The sequence below is a fragment of the Homo sapiens genome, chromosome 2 (assembly GCF_000001405.40).
Source record: "Homo sapiens chromosome 2, GRCh38.p14 Primary Assembly".
NCBI lineage: Eukaryota > Metazoa > Chordata > Mammalia > Primates > Hominidae > Homo > Homo sapiens.
In genome coordinates this window covers 208206804-208222849 of record NC_000002.12, presented here as the reverse complement: position 1 = coordinate 208222849, position 16046 = coordinate 208206804, and the positions used below count along the sequence as shown (strand labels likewise).

Below are 16046 nucleotides of genomic sequence, written 5' to 3'. Positions count from 1 at the left end.
TTCTCTGAGGTCCACTATTCCAAGCTGTTATTCCCAATTTCCATTCTCCTACTCCTGAACCCACAAACTCTCTCAAATGAGTAACTGGGTTTTCTGTCATTGTTATGCCTTTCAGAACTCCTATTAGGGCTTTTCCACTGGCTCCCCTCACCCCCAGCACTGCACTGCTCAAGCTCAGGGCTCCTGCTAAGCTAGCCCCGCTGCCTCTCCCTTCAGCCGCAATTATGATTATTCACCAGGACCTCATCAGCCACGATGAGATGTTCTGCAACATTTACAAGATCCAGGAGATGGCTGTGCCTGGAGGTGGAGGAGAAGATGGTCACTAGGACAGAGAGTAGCATTGATGACTCCCTCATTGGTGGAAATGCCTCCACTGAAGGCCCAAAGGGCAAATGTACAGAAAGCACTGTAATCACTGGTGTTAAGATTGTCAAGAACCATCCCTTGAAAGAAAGCAGCTTTACAAAGGAAGCATAAAGAAGTACATCCAAGATTACATGCAATCAATCAAAGGCAAACTTGAAGAACAGAGACCAGGAAAGACTAAAACCTGTTACGACAGAGGCTGCAGAACAAATCAAGCACACCCTTGCTAATTTCAAAAACAATACCAGTTTTTATTAGTGAAAACCTGAACCTAGATGGCATGGTTGCTCTATTGGACTACCATGAGACTGGTGTTACTACAGGAGGTAGCTAGTTAGGCATGAGCAGGGAAGAAGAGGGCTCCACCCACCCCCACCAGGAATGTCAGGCAACCATCAGGTGATGGTCAGGCGGTTGTTAACTGTCTCTCTAAGATAATAATTGGTCATGGCCAGGCGTGGTGGCTCATGGCTGTAATTCCAGCACTTTGGGAGGCCGAGGCAGGAAGATCACCTGAGGTCAGGAGTTTGAGACCAGCCTTGTCAGGCCTCTGAGCCCAAGCTAAGCCATCATATCCCCTGTGACCTGCATGTACACATCCAGATGGCCGGTTCCTGCCTTAACTGATGACATTCCACCATAAAAGAAGTGAAAATGGCCTGTTCCTGCCTTAACTGATGACATTGTCTTGTGAAATTCCTTCTCCTGGCTCATCCTGGCTCAAAAGCTCCCCTACTGAGCATGTTGTGACCCCCACTCTGCCTGCCAGAGAACAACCCCCTTTGACTGTAATTTTCCTTTATCTACCCAAATCCTATAAAACGGCACCACCCTTATCTCCCTTCGCTGACTCTCTTTTTGGACTCAGCCCGCCTGCACCCAGGTGAAATAAACAGCCATGTTGCTCACACAAAGCCTGTTTGGTGGTCTCTTCACACCAACACAAGTGAAATTTGGTGCCGTGACTCGGATCGGGGGACCTCCCTTCAGAGATCAATCCCTTGTCCTCCTGCTCTTTGCTCCGTGAAAAAGATCCACCTACGACCTCAGGTCCTCAGACCCACCAGCCCAAGGAACATCTCACCAATTTTAAATCGGGTAAGCGGCCTCTTCTTACTCTCTTCTCCAACCTCTCTCATTATCCCTCAACCACTTTCTCCTTTCCACTCTTCAATCTCTCCCTTCTCTTAATTTCAATTCCTTTCATTTTCTGGTAGAGACAAAGGAGACACATTTTATCCATGGACCCAAAAACTCCAGCGCCGGTCACGGACTGGGAAGGCAGCCTTCCCTTGGTGTTTAATCATTGCAGGGACTCCTCTCTGATTATTCATCCACGTTTCAGAGGTATCAGACCACGCAGGGATGCCTGCCATGGTCCTTCACCCCTAGCGTCAAGTCCCGCTTTTCTAGGGGAGGGGCGAGTACCCCAACCCCTTCTCTCTGTGTCTCTACCCCTTCTCCACATTTCTGGGGGGCAAGAAACCCCCAACCCCTTCTCCTTCACCCTTAGCAGCAAGTCCTGCTTTTCTGGGGGAGGGGCAAGTACCCAACCTCGTATCTCTGCACCCCAATCCCTTATTTCCACACCCCAACCTCTTACATCTCTGTGCCCTGATCCCTTATTTCCATGCCCCGACCCCTTTCCTGCTTTTCTGGAGGGTAAGAACCCCTGAACCGCTTCCCTCCATGTCTCTACTCTCCCTTTTCTTTAAACTTGCCTCCTTCACTATAGGCAAACTTCCACCCTCCATTCCTCCTCCTTCTCCCTTAGCCTGTGTTCTTAAGAACATAAAACCTCTTCAACTCTCACCTGACCTAAAACCTAAATGCCTTATTTTCTTCTACAATGCCGCTTGACCCCAATACAAACCGGACAGTGGTTGTAAATGGCCAGAAAACGGCATTTTCGATTTCTCCATCCTATAAGACCTAAATAATTTTTGTCAAAAAATAGGTAAGTGGTCTGAGGTGCCTGATGTCCAGGCATTCTTTTACACATCGGTCCCTCCCTAGTCTCTGTGCCCAATGCAACTCGTCCCAAATCTTCCTTCTTTCCCTCCTACCTGTCCCCTCAGTACCAACCCCAAGTGTCGCTGAGTCTTTCTAATCTTCCTTTTCTACAGACCCATCTGTCCTCTCCGCCTCCTCCCCAGGCTGCTCTTCGCCAGGCCAAGCTAGGTCCCAATTCTTCCTCAGCCTCTGCTCCTCCACCCTGTAATATTTTTATCACCTCCCCTCCTCACACCCAGTCCAGTTTACAGTTTCATTCCGTGAGTAGCCCTCCCCCACCTGCCCAGCAATTTCCTCTTAAAAAGGTAGCTGAAGCTAAAGGCATAGTCAAGGTTAATGCTTCTTTTTCTTTATCAGACCTCTCCCAAATCAGTGAGCATTTAGGCTCTTTCACCAAATATGAAAAACCCAGCCCAGTTCATGGCTCATTTGGCAGCAACCCTGAGACACTTTACAGCCCTAGACCCTAAAAGGTCAAAAGCCCGTCTTATTCTCAATATACATTTTATTACCCAATCTGCTCCCAACGTTAAATAAATCTCCAAAAATTAAATTCCAGCCCTCAAACCCCACAATAGGACTTAATTAACCTCAACTTCAAGGTGTACAATAATACACTAGAGTCAGCCAAGTAGCAACATGTTTCTGAGTTGCAATTCTTTGCCTCCACTGTGAGACAAACCCCAGCCACATCTCCAGCACACAAGAACTCCAGACGCCTGAACCGCAGCTGCCAGGGGTTCCTCCAGAACCTCCTCCCCCAGGAGCTTGCTACAAGTGCCGGAAATCTGGCCCCTGGGCCAAGGAATGCCCACAGCCCGGGATTCCTCCTAAGCCATGTCCCATCTGTGCAGGACCCCACTGAAAACTGGACTGTTCAACTCATCTGGCAGCCACTTCCAGAGCCCCTAGAACTCTGGCCCAAGGCTCTCTGACTGACTCCTTCCCAGATCTTCTCAGCTTAGCAGCTGAAGACTGACACTGCCCAATAGCCTCAGAAGCCTACAGGACCATCACAGATGCTCTAGGTAACTCTCACAGCGGAGGGTAAGTCCATCCCCTTCTTAATCAATATGGAGGCTACTCACTCCACAATTGCCTTATTTTCAAGGGCCTGTTTCCCTTGCTTCCATAACTGCTGTGTGTATTGAGGGCTAGGCTTCTAAACCTCTTAAAACTCCCCAACTCTAGTGCCAACTTAGACAATACTCTTTTAAGCACTCCTTTTTAGTTATCCCCACCTGCCTAGTTCCCTTATTAGGTCGAGATATTTTAACCAAATTATCTGCTCCCCTGACTATTCCTGGAGTACAGCTGCATCTCATTGCTGCCCTTCTCCCCAACCCAATGCCTCCTTTGCGTCTTCCTCTCATACCCCCCTACCTTAACCCACAAGTATGGGACATCGCTACTCCTTCCCTGGCAACCGGTCACATGCCCATTACCATCCCATTAAAACCTAACCACCCTTACCCCACTCAACGCCAATATCCCATCCCACAGCACAATTTAAAAGGCTTGAAGCCTGTTATCACTCACCTGCTATAGCATGGGCTTCTAAAACCTATAAACTCTCCTTACAATTCCCCCATTTTACCTGTCCTAAAACCAGACAAGCCTTACAAGTTAGTTCAGGATCTGCACCTTATCAACCAAATTGTTTTGCCTATCCACCCTGTAGTGCCCAACCCGTACACTCTTTTGTCCTCAATACCTTCCTCCACAACTAACTGTTCCGTTCTTGATCTTAAAGATGCTTTTTTCACTATTCCCCTGCACCTCTCATCCCAGCCTCTCTTTGCTTTCACCTGGACTGACCCTGACACACATCAGTCCCAGCAGCTTACCTGGGCTGTGCTGCCACAAGGTTTCAGGGACAGCCCTCATTACTTCAGCCAAGCTCTTTCTCATGATTTACTTTCTTTCCACTCCTCCGCTTCTCACCTTATTCAATATATTAATGACCTTCTTCTTTGTAGCCCCTCCTTTGAATCTTCTCAACAACACACCCTCCTGCTCCTTCAGCATTTATCCTCCAAAGGATATCGGGTTCCCCCTCCAAAGCTCAAATTTCTTCTCCATTTGTTACCTACCTCGGCATAATTCTTCATAAAAACACACATGGTCTCCCTGCCGATCGTGTCCCACTAAACTCTCAAACCCCAACCCCTTCTACAAAACAATAACTCCTTTCCTCCCTGGGCGTGGTTAGATACTTTCGCCTTTGGATCCCTGGTTTTGCCATCCTAACAAGACCATTATATAAACTCACAAAAGGAAACCTAGCTGACCCCATAGATCCTAAATCCTTTCCCCACTCCTCTTTCCATTCCTTGAAGACAGCTTTAGAGACTGCCCCCACTCTAGCTCTCCCTGACTCATCCCAACCCTTTTCATTACACACAGCTGAAGTGCAGGGCTGTGCAGTCAGAATTCTTACACAAGGACCAGGATCGCATCCTGTAGCCTTTTTGTCCAAACAACTTGACCTTCCTGTTTTAAGCTGGCCATTATGTCTCTGTGCCGTGGCTGCTGCCGCCGTAATACTTTTAGAGGCCCTTAAAATCACAAACTATGCTCAACTCACTCTCTACAGCTCTTATAATTTCCAAAATTTATTTTCTTCCTCACACCTGACACATATACTTTCTGCTCCCCGGCTCCTTCAGCTGTACTCACTCTTCGTTGAGTCTCCCACAATTACCATCGTTCCTGGCCCGACTTCAATCCAGCCTCCCACATTATTCCTGATACCACACCTGACCCCCATGACTGTCTTTCTCTGATCCATCTGACATTCACCCCATTTCCCCATATTTCCTTATTTCCTGTTCCTCACCCTGATCACGCTTGATTTATTGGTGGCGGTTCCACCAGACCTAATCGCCACACACCAGCAAAGGCAGGCTATGCTATAGTACAAGCCACTAGCCCGCCTCTCAGAACCTCTCATTTCCTTTCCATCGTGGAAATCTATCCTCAAGGAAATAACTTCTCAGTGTTCCATCTGCTATTCTACTATTCCTCAGGGATTATTCAGGCCCCCTCCCTTCCCTACACTTCAAGCTCGAGGATTTGCCCCCACCCAGGACTGGCAAATTAGCTTTACTCAACATGCCCCAAGTCGGATAACTAAAATACCTCTTAGTCTAGGTAGACACTTTCACTAGATAAGTAGAGGCCTTTCCTACAGGGTCTGAGAAGGCCACCGCAGTCATTTCTTCCCTTCTGTCAGATATAATTCCTCAGTTTAGCCTTCCCACCTCTATACAGTCTGATAACAGACCAGCCTTTATTGGTCAAATCAGCCAAGCATTTTTTCAGGCTCTTAGTATTCAGTGACAGACTAATGGTCTATTAAAAACACACCTCATCAAGCTCAGCCACCAACTTAAAAAGGACTGGACAATACTTTTACCACTTTCGCTTCTCAGAATTCAGGCCTGTCCTCGGAATGCTACAAGGTACAGCCCATTTAAGCTCCTGTATAGATGCTCCTTTTTATTAGGCCCCAGTCTCATTCTAAACACCAGACCAACTTAGACTGTGCCCCAAAAAACTTGTCATCCCTACTATCTTCTGTCTAGTCATACTCCTATTCACCGTTCTCAACTACTCATACATGCCCTGCTCTTGTTTACACTGCCAGTTTACACTGTTTCTCCAAGCCATCACAGCTGATATCTCCTGGTGCTATCCCTAGACTGCCACTCTTAACTCTTGAAGTAAATAAATAATCTTTGCTGACAGGACTATGCTGAATCTCCTTAGGCACTCTAATCAGATGTCCTAGGTCCTCCCAATTCTTACACCTTTAATACCTGTTTTTCTCCTTCTCTTATTCCATTTAGTTTTTCAATTCATACAAAACCGTATCCAGGCCATCACCAATAATTCTAAATGACAAATGTTTCTTCTAACAGTCCCATGATATCACCCCTTACCACAAAATCTTCCTTCAGCTTAATCTGTCCCACTCTAGGTTCCCACGCCGCCCCTAATCCCGCTTGAAGCAGCCCTGAGAAACATCGTCCATTATCTCTCCATACCACCCCCCAAAATTTTCACCATCCCAACACTTTACCACTATTTCGTTTTATTTTTCTTATTAATATAAGAAGACAGGAATGTCAGGCCTCTGAGCCCAAGCTAAGCCATCATATCCCCTGTGACCGCCACGTACATATCCAGATGGCCAGTTCCTGCCTTAACTGATGACATTCCACCATAAAAGAAGTGAAAATGGCCTGTTCCTGCCTTAACTGATGACATTGTCTTGTGAAATTCCTTCTCCTGGCTCATCCTGGCTCAAAAGCTCTCCTACTGAGCACCTTGTGACCCCCACTCTGCCCGCCAGAGAACAACCCCGTTTGACTGTAGTTTTCCTTTATCTACCCAAATCCTATAAAACGGCCCCACCCTTATCTCCCTTCCCTTCGCTGACTCTCTTTTTGGACTCAGCCCTCCTGCACCCAGGTGAAATAAACAGCCATGTTGCTCACACAAAGCCTTTTTGGTGGTCTCTTCACACGGACGCGCATGAAAAGCCTACAAGGTGAAACCCTGTCTCTACTAAAAATACAAAAAAATTAACCAGCTGTGGTTATTTAAACTAAGGTAAGAGAATCACTTGAAACCAGGAGGCGGAAGTTGCAGTGAGCCTAGATTGCGCCAGTACACTCCAACCTGGGAGACAGAGCGGGACCCTGTCTCAAAATAATAATAATAATAATAATAATAATAATAATAATAATAATAATAATTGGTCGCAGCCAGCTCCAGGGAAAGGCAGTCTCCCAATAGATAGAAAAAAACCTGAAACTGATGATAAGGAGCTTCCCAATAAGATCTCAGGAATTGAGTGAGTGGGTTCAAGCTTGCACACTAAGAGGCAAAATGGCGGAATTTAACTGGTATATAACCACCTAGGAAGATTCAGCTGGTAAGGGAAGAATGCCTCAAGTGAGCATGCGTACAAGTCCAGTAAACACACTACACATGCTCCCCTCCCAAGATCCAGCAGGCCACCGTGCATGCGGACAGCCCACCCAAGGGAAGAATCCAGGGAGAAGGGATGCAAGACCCCAGAAGCATGCCAACATATAAAACCCCAAGTCAAAGGTCAAACAGTGCAGTTGATCTCTCAAGTTGCCCACTTAGCCCTCTTCCAAGTGTACTTTACTTCCTTTCATTCCTGCTCTAAAGCTTTTTAATAGACTTTCACTCCTGCTCTAACTCTTGCCTCGGCCTCCTTGATCAAATTCTTTCTTCTGAGAAGGCGAGAATTGAGGTTGCTGCAAACACGTTCGGATTTGCCACTGGTAACAGTGTGACCCCAGATATAATTTTCTTTCTTTTTTTTTTTTTATACTTTTCAAAACCTTTTGACTCAATTGTTATTTTGTTTAGTCTACTTATGTATTTTTTTTGAGACAGGGTCTCCCTCTGCCACCCAGGCTGGAATGCAGTGGCAATCTCAGCTCACTGCAACCTCCACCTTCCAGGCTCAAGTGATCCTCTTTCCTCAGCCTCCCAAGTAGCTGGAACTACAGGCACATGCCACCAAGCCCGACTAATTTTTGTATTTTTTGTGGAGATGAGGTTTTGCTGTGTTACCCAGACTGGTCTCGAATTCCTGAGCTTAAGCGATCTGTCTGCCTTGGCCTGTCTGCTGGGATTATAGGTGTGAGCCACCGTGCCCAGTGATTGCTTTTAAGGTTGGTTTAGAAGTGGAAAAATGTTAACAAATTTGGCAATTACTTTGGATCTCTCACCTGTTGTCATAACTGGCTTCTGCTTGTCATCCACCTAACACCAGGACTTCACACAAGTGGGATTGATATCATCTTGAGCTCTTCATTTATTTTGACCATAATTTATTTGGAGTGGAGACATTGTCTTTAAGAAAAATATGTCAGGTAGGTTGTCTAAAAATTAAATGCATTTAAACTCATTTGAGAGAATGCCTTTTAGTTTAAAACATATTTAAACTAAGTCCATCTTGTAATGTTCCTGGAGAAGCTAAGCCTGATTGTAAGCCACTACTAGAAAGAATAAGACTGTCATCAGATAACTTCTACAGTGGAAACTACTTCTGAGACTGGAATATAAAAAGCAAGAATCAGGCTGGACCTGCTGGCTCATGCCTGTAATCCTGGCACTTTGGCAGGCTGAGGCAGGAGGATTGCTTCAGCTTAGGAGTTTGAGACCAACCTGGGCAACATAGTGAGACCTCATCTCTAAAAACAGATATATATAATTTAAAAACCCCCAAGAATCAAAAGTGTTAACTCTGAATTGCAGTAAAGGGAAAGACCATGCTCGTAGCAATGCCAGCATCTGAAGTGGAGCCTTATACATTTCATCACTTATAATGGAAGTAGTTAACTCTGAAAGAGACTACCAAGAGAGTAAAAAGAGACTAACTTAGCTGGGACAGAAAGAAAACAAACCTTCAGTAGGGGGATCAGGAGAGTGGCAAGGTCACCTGTGGCTCTTTGTAAAACACAGTTATTTGTTAAGTCAGGAGTTCTTGGTTCCGTAGCTGCCAGAACATTTGCCCTACTTCTCAGGCATTTCTACAATATTTTCCCCACAATCTCCTGGCTGAAATGCACATTTGCATTCCAAGTCACTTTGAATGGGAAAACCTTAATGAAAAAGGCCATTAATCACAGATACATCATGAAATATACTACAACAACATTGTCACAGCTGCAGCAGGAAGTTGTGGTGAGCCTTCCTGGTTATTGTTTAATTTTTTTGTGATAAATAAACAGAGTTCAAATTGATAACGAAGAAACTGTTTGATCATCTCTGTGTGTGTGTGTGTGTGTGTGTGTGTGTGTGTGTCTAGACCTCTTCTTTCCCCAGCATCCCTCTCTAATTCCCCTCCCATTCAACACATCAGTTTTCTCTCTCATTCATTTTGTTTATTTATTTATTAATTTGTATTGTTAGCAGACACGGAGTTTCACCATGTTGGTCAGGCTGGTCTTGAACTCCTGACCTCAAGTGATCTGCCTGCCTCGGCCTCCCAAAGTGCTGAGATTACAGGCGTGAGCCACCGTGCCCGGCCTCTCTCATTTATTTCTGTCCAGGGATTAAATATTACTGACAAGATGAACTAGGCTGAGTCAGCTATAGTGAATCCAGATTCTAAGGTAACCTCAAAAAACAAGCAGATCAGGGCAAGGACTGGAATCTAAGGTTTAATGATTTGGTATTTTCCAAAGTCTGAAGTTCTAGGTACCTAGATGCTACCTAAGGATTTCTGTTGCAACTATGCATTGCTGCCCTGCCAGACAGCTGCAGTCAGCATCTTTGGGCTGACTTGGTTTCTGACCGCCCCCCTTGGTTTCAGGCCAGGCACTAACCCTTGAGGAAAATTCAGACTCCCTGAAGGTGGTCTCACAACCCCGCACTCCTAATCAATTCTGCCTCCCCTTCTGCCTAATCTTTCTTCCAAATTGTCTGCTGCCCTTATCCATTAGGACATTGACAGTAACCATGCTTTCAGGAGGCAAGAGTATGGTGGGAATTTCTTTCTTTCTTTTTTCTTTCTTTCTCTTTTTTTTTTTTTTTTTTTTTTTTGAGATGGAGTCTCCCTCTTGTTTCCCAAGCTGGAGTGCAATGGCGCAATCTCAGCTAACCACAACCTCTGGCTCCCAGGTTCAAGTGATTCTCCTGCCTCAGCCTCCCGAGTAGCTGGGATTACAGGGATGCACCACCACGCCCAGCTAATTTTGTATTTTTAGTAGAGATGGGGTTTCTCTATATTGGTCAGGCTGGTCTCGAACTCCGACCTCAGGTGATCCACCTGCCTCAGCCTCCCAAAGTGCTAGGATTACAGGTGTGAGCCACCGCACCCGGCCGTTGGGAATTATAGGGTATTATTATTATAGAGTATAGGGTAATTATTGTTTTTATAACCTGCTTCACATAATTTTTTTCAATAAATGATGTAGTGAAAGGGGGTCCTTAAAGATACTTTGATTTAGCATACTTTGTGCTCAAATTGGAAAAAAACAAAGCAGCAAGGCCTTTTATAAAGCTGTGTATTATAATAATGTACTTCCAAAATAGCTCAAGTGTTGTTCACACAATAGATATTTTCCATGAAAGAATGTTTTTTGACCCATGGGGGCAGATTAGCACCCACAAATACCTTTGGGTCTGAAGGCTTTTATCCATATAGAAGAAAAAAGTTACTTTCTCTGGAGTCGAAGTTTCAGTGGGGGGACAACTTAACAGAACCATCACTTACTTCTATTTAGAATGTATGTTTACGCCACAGGCAAATCAGAGAATAGAAGTAATCTCAGGACGTGCCCAAGATAGAAGCCATTCTATTGCCAAGTTCCAGTGGCTTAGGCTCAGTCTCTGGGGATAAGAGGCAAAAAGTCATTCAGTGTCGTTTTGGAATCGATCCCATCTATGTGCGCTAGTTCATATCTTTTTTCTCTCTTTTTTTTTTTTTTTTTTTTTTTTTTTTGACGCGGAGTCTCGCTCTGTCGCCTAGGCTAGAGTGCAGTGGCGAGATCTCACTGCAAGCTCTGCCTCCTGGGTTCACGCCATTCTCCTGCCTCAGCCTCCCAAGTAGCTGGGACTACAGGTGCCCGCCACCACACCCGGCTAAATTTTGTATTTTTAGTAGAGACGGGGTTTCACCATGTTAGCCGGGATGGTCTGGATCTCCTGACCTCGTGATCTGACTGCCTAGGCCTCCCAAAGTGCTGGGATTACAGGCGTGAGCCACTGCACCCAGCCTCTTTTTTGCCCTTTTATTATAGTTTGGATGCACAATAATGATAATTGTAGCTAACATTTGTTTACCTCATATAAGCACTGTCCTAGATTTTTTACTTGATTACTTGTTCTATGCTTGCAATAACCTTGTGGTGTAGGTACTCTGTTTCATAAAAAAAGAAACTGAGGCACAGACTGGCCCAGGTCACATTGATGGTATTCTGGTCATCTTTGGTAGCATAATAAATTATCTCAAAACTTAGTGGCTTAAGTTACTTCTTACGGTTCTGGAAGCTGACTGGGCTCACCTAGGCGATTCTCGCTTAGTGAGGCTCACTTGGGGGCTTCCACGGAGTTATGGTGGATGGTGGCTGTGGCTGGCATCATTTGAATGTTTCCTCCCACATGTGTCTATTGGCTGGGACTCCAGATAGCGCTGTCATCCAGAGTCCTGCACATGGCCTCTCCATGTGACCTGGACTTCCCTATAGCATCGAAGCTGGGCTTCAAAAGCAAGCATTTCAGGTAAAAGTGGTATTGCCTTTTGTTAAAAAAGAAAAAAACTTTCTTATTTTGAATTAATTACAAACTAACAGGAAGCTGCAAATAGAGTAAGAGAGTCTAATGAATGTTTTATTCAGCTTCCTCCAATGGTGAGATCTTCTATAACTGTAGAACAGTATCAGGACCAGGAAATGGACATTTGCACAAAACTGTTAACTAGGCTACAGAACTTATTCTGTTTTGCCAGTTTTTACACGCACTCATTTGTATGTGCATGTGTGGAGCCCACAGTGCTCTCTCTTTGTAGTCACATTCGCTCCTTCCCACCCTCACACCTGTCCCCTGGCAACCATCTGTCTCATTTTGTCATTTCCAGAATGTTACATAATGAAACCATACAGTATGCGATCTTTTGAGATTGGCTTTTTTCACTAAGCACATTGAGATCCATCCAACTATACATGTATCAATAGTTTGTTCCTTTTATTGTTGACTAATATTTTATATATTGCCTTTTAAGACCTAGCCTGGAAAGTCACACACTTTCACTTCTACTATAATTACTGGCTTGTCCAGATTCAAGGAGAGGGGACGAACCCCCTGCCCAACCTTGATGAGAGTAGTGCCAATGTCACTTTTTAAGAAGAGCCTGAGGAGAACTGTTGTGTCATCTCAGAAAATATAATCTGCCACAGATGGAAAGTGGTAAAGATGAGATTCTATTGTCTCTACTAAAAATACAAAAAATTAGCTGGGCATGGTGGTGGGTGCCTGTAATCCCAGCTACTTGGGAGGCTGAGGCAGGAGAATTGCTTGAACCCAGGAGGCGGAAGTTGCAGTGAGCCGAGGTCGCACCATTGCTCTCCAGCCTGGGCGACAGAGTGAGACTCTGTCTCTAAATAAATAAATAAATAAATTGAAAAACAACACCTGAAATTGGAGGTTGCATGGAGAAATAAAAATTGCATATTTAAATGATTTTGAAATTACATACATTTTATGTTTATGCTTGCAAAAGAACATATGGAAAACATAATGAGAATAAGTAACAGACCACCTTTTTCAACGCCAACATAGATAATGTATTTTCTATATCACACCTATACATTTTCTACATTAGAATAGTTCCAAAGGTCTATAGCGTGCTCGTCGAAGTAAAATTACACTCATAATGAAAACTGTTTTGTTGATAATCATTTATCTGTTGATCCAAATAAAGAATTTCATATTAATAAAAAGAACCAGAAAATTAATATTGCTCATCATTATTATTGAAACTCTATTATAAACTCTGTCCCCAGCCTTCTGTGGCAGAGGTAACACTTAAATATGAAGCCTAACTCAGAAGTCTTAGTATGTTTCTGAAACCTTCTATCTAGTCTACTTACAGCTAACAGTTAAACTAGATCCTGAGCAGGAAGGGGAGAGGGAAGTGCCTAGTGACTAATGATCTAACTGAAGTGACAAAATAAGACTCTTCTTTCTGACACCATGATTCTGAGATTAATTTCATGAAATGTTCCATGGAGTTGGTGAAGGAGGTGTGTGCTCTGCTTGCAGGGCTCCGTACACAACTATTAATAAGATTGTGCTGGGCGCAGTGGCTCACGCCTGTAATCCCAGCACTTTGGGAAGCAGAGACGGGCAGATCACGAGGTCAAGAGATAGAGACCATCCTGGCCAACATGGTGAAACCGTGTCTCTACCAAAAATACAAAAATTAGCCTGGCATGGTGGTGGGCACCTGTAGTCCCAGCTACTTGGGAGGCTGAGGCAGGAGAATGGCGTGAACCCGGGAGGTGGAGGTTGCAGTGAGCCAAGATCGCGCGACTGCACTCCAGCCTGGCGACAGAGCGAGACTATCTCGAAAAAAAAAAAAAGATTGTGATTCTCAACTAAAAGTACAGAGTAAAGAGAGCATGGCAGCAGTGAAAGAGAGGTGAGATGTATTGTTTGATAACAACATATTCTATGTTATATTGTAATTTTATTTGGGGGAGCACTGTAAAAACCTTATTTCCATAATGTAAATATTTTTTAAAAATAAGATGGTTGAGTTTACCAAGATGGAAGATGTTATAAAAAGTTATGAGAGCACTGAGGTCAACCTAATTTATTTCACTGCTCAGATCCTTTTAGAGCCTTTCTTCAACTTTTTTTTTTTAAGAAATTGATGTTTATTTTCCATCAGCCTTATTTCCATGTTGCTTAAGAGCCTGTGGAAGAACAGTTTAAGATCACTCAGTGGTTGTTCCTACCCGTTCACTGGCCTGAGCACGGGAGCTGCAGACCAGTTTCAGCGGCAGGCTGAGTGCTCCAGTCTTCAGTGGGGACCTGCTGAATAGGCCCAGAGGGCACCTGCGCAACTTCAGGCCAGTCTGCAACCTCAGGCTCAGTAGCAGCGAACTCAGGAGTTGGAGCAGTCCATTCACCCTGAAATTCCTCCTGGGTCTCAGCTTTTCCAGCTGTGGCCTGCTCTTCTTTTTCAATCTCTCCAGGATCTCTAGAAAGAGAGATCAGGCATGACCTCCTATGGGTGTTCATGGGAGAAAGTGCTACGTGTGCAAAGAAATTCCCAGGCCAGCGTCCACCACTTTGGAACCACTAGCAAGCTCTCTTGTTGTTGTATGGGATGGCCATGTCCACACAGTGCAGAGGACACAAGGCAATGGTGGGCAGGTTAACACAAGATGCCTTTGCGAGAGGCTGGTGGTCAGCCCTGGAATCAGTAACCATCAGCAGACACTCCCAAAAGGCTGACCGGATCTGGTGAGTGAAGGTTCTAGGAGTGAAGCTACCAGCAATAAGAGTGGCTCCCATGACAGCAGCAACCTTCAGCACAGCCCCCTGGCCAGTGTTCCTAGAGGACATGACATTGACCTCAGAGGGGTTTTCAATGGCACGAGCTGCCAGCAGAAACTTCTCCCGGGTCCTCTTCAGATTGATGATGGTCACTTTTCCTTTTGTAATGTACTGTTCCATTTGGAAGTCAAGGTTGGTGCCACCTTAGTGGGTTCCTGCTGCAAGAAATTTGAGGACATCCTTCTCTTTCATTTGCAGGACATAAAGGGCTCTGGACATTGTGAAAGTTTCCCTTTAAGTTATGACGAGAATAAGGAACAGCACCATATAGATCCCTCTTAGGTAGCATGGAAAAACTTCTATGTTATTTTTTATCAAGTACCGAGAACAGTGTGTTAAAGGGAATTATGGACACTTTCTCTCATTTGAGTCAAGCTGTATTGGGAAATATTGTTCTGAGTTTATGAAACGGGGCTGGCACTATTTCCTGGTTTCAAGGCTCATAAAACCTACCCTATTTTTATTTATTTTTTAGTTTTTTTTTTTTTTTTATCAATACTTGGAAGAAGTTAACAAGCTTGTACATATTCCACCTTCTTTCCCTGAATTCCAAGATATCTGTTTAAAGAGGGGGCAATAAGGGATTGGCAGATTCGTTGTGGAAGCTTTACACAGTGAAACGCTTGTCAGGCTTTAATTGTAATGGGATAGGAGTGTATTTGCAGACATGGAAAGATATTCATGATGTGTGGTTGACTGAAGAAAAGGTGGAGAAGGGGCTACAGAACAGCATAGTATTATTTTGGTTAAAATATTATGAATAACATCCATTGGCCGGGTGTGGTGGTTAATGCCTGTAATCCCAGCACTTTGGGAGGCTGAGGCAAGAGGATTGCTTGAGTCCAGGAGTTCAAGACCAGCCTGGCCAACATAGTGAGACCTTGCCTCTACAAAAAATAAATAAAATTAGCCGGGCGTGGTGGGACTTGCCTATAATCCCAGCTACTCAGGAGGGCTGAGGTGAGAGGATCGCTTGAGCCAAGGAAGTCGAAGGTGCAGTGAGCTGAGATTGCACCACTGCACTTCAACGTGGGTGACAGAGTCTTGCTGTGTCTCAAAAAAAAGTCATTTAATGAGTACTTTTGATGTGCCATGTATTTTTTTGTTTGCTTGTTTGTTTGTTTTGAGACGGAGTTTGGCTCTGTCGCCCAGGCTGGAGTGCAGTGGTGCCATCTCGGCTCACTGCAAGCTCCGCCTCCCAGGTTCACGCCATTCTTCTGCCTCAGCCTCCCGAGTAGCTGGGACTACAGGCGCCCGCCGCTACGCCCGGCTAATTTTTTGTATTTTTAGTAGAGACGGGGTTTCACCGTGTTAGCCAGGATGGTCTCATCTCCTGACCTTGTGATCCGGCCACCTCGGCCTCCCAAAGTGCTGGGATTACAGGCGTGAGCCACCGCGCCCGGCCTTTTTTTGGTCTTTCAAATGAGCTAGTTTATTTCCAGATGATACAGAATTCAGTCAGACTAAGACCAAAGAGCAAGCTCTGGCAGGATGCTGGGCTGGGCTGACTTTAAATTCACAGCTAAGGCTGAGGAAAAACAAAGATCCAA

At 44.8% G+C, this 16046-nt stretch overlaps 2 pseudogenes, besides 1 other annotated feature; one reads left to right on the top strand and one right to left on the bottom strand.

The window, feature by feature from the left end:
* The first annotated feature begins 224 nt into the window (after positions 1-224).
* Positions 225-8126, top strand: TPT1P2 (TPT1 pseudogene 2; annotated as a pseudogene).
* Positions 6344-6906: an enhancer, noted in NCBI's record as "OCT4-NANOG hESC enhancer chr2:209080668-209081230 (GRCh37/hg19 assembly coordinates)". NCBI's record gives its function as "activates a minimal SCP1, AML or CMV promoter by ChIP-STARR-seq in naive and primed H9 embryonic stem cells {active_cell/tissue: H9 hESC(naive and primed)}" and the evidence as "EXISTENCE:reporter gene assay evidence [ECO:0000049][PMID:30033119]".
* On the bottom strand, positions 13784-14791 carry RPSAP27 (ribosomal protein SA pseudogene 27; annotated as a pseudogene).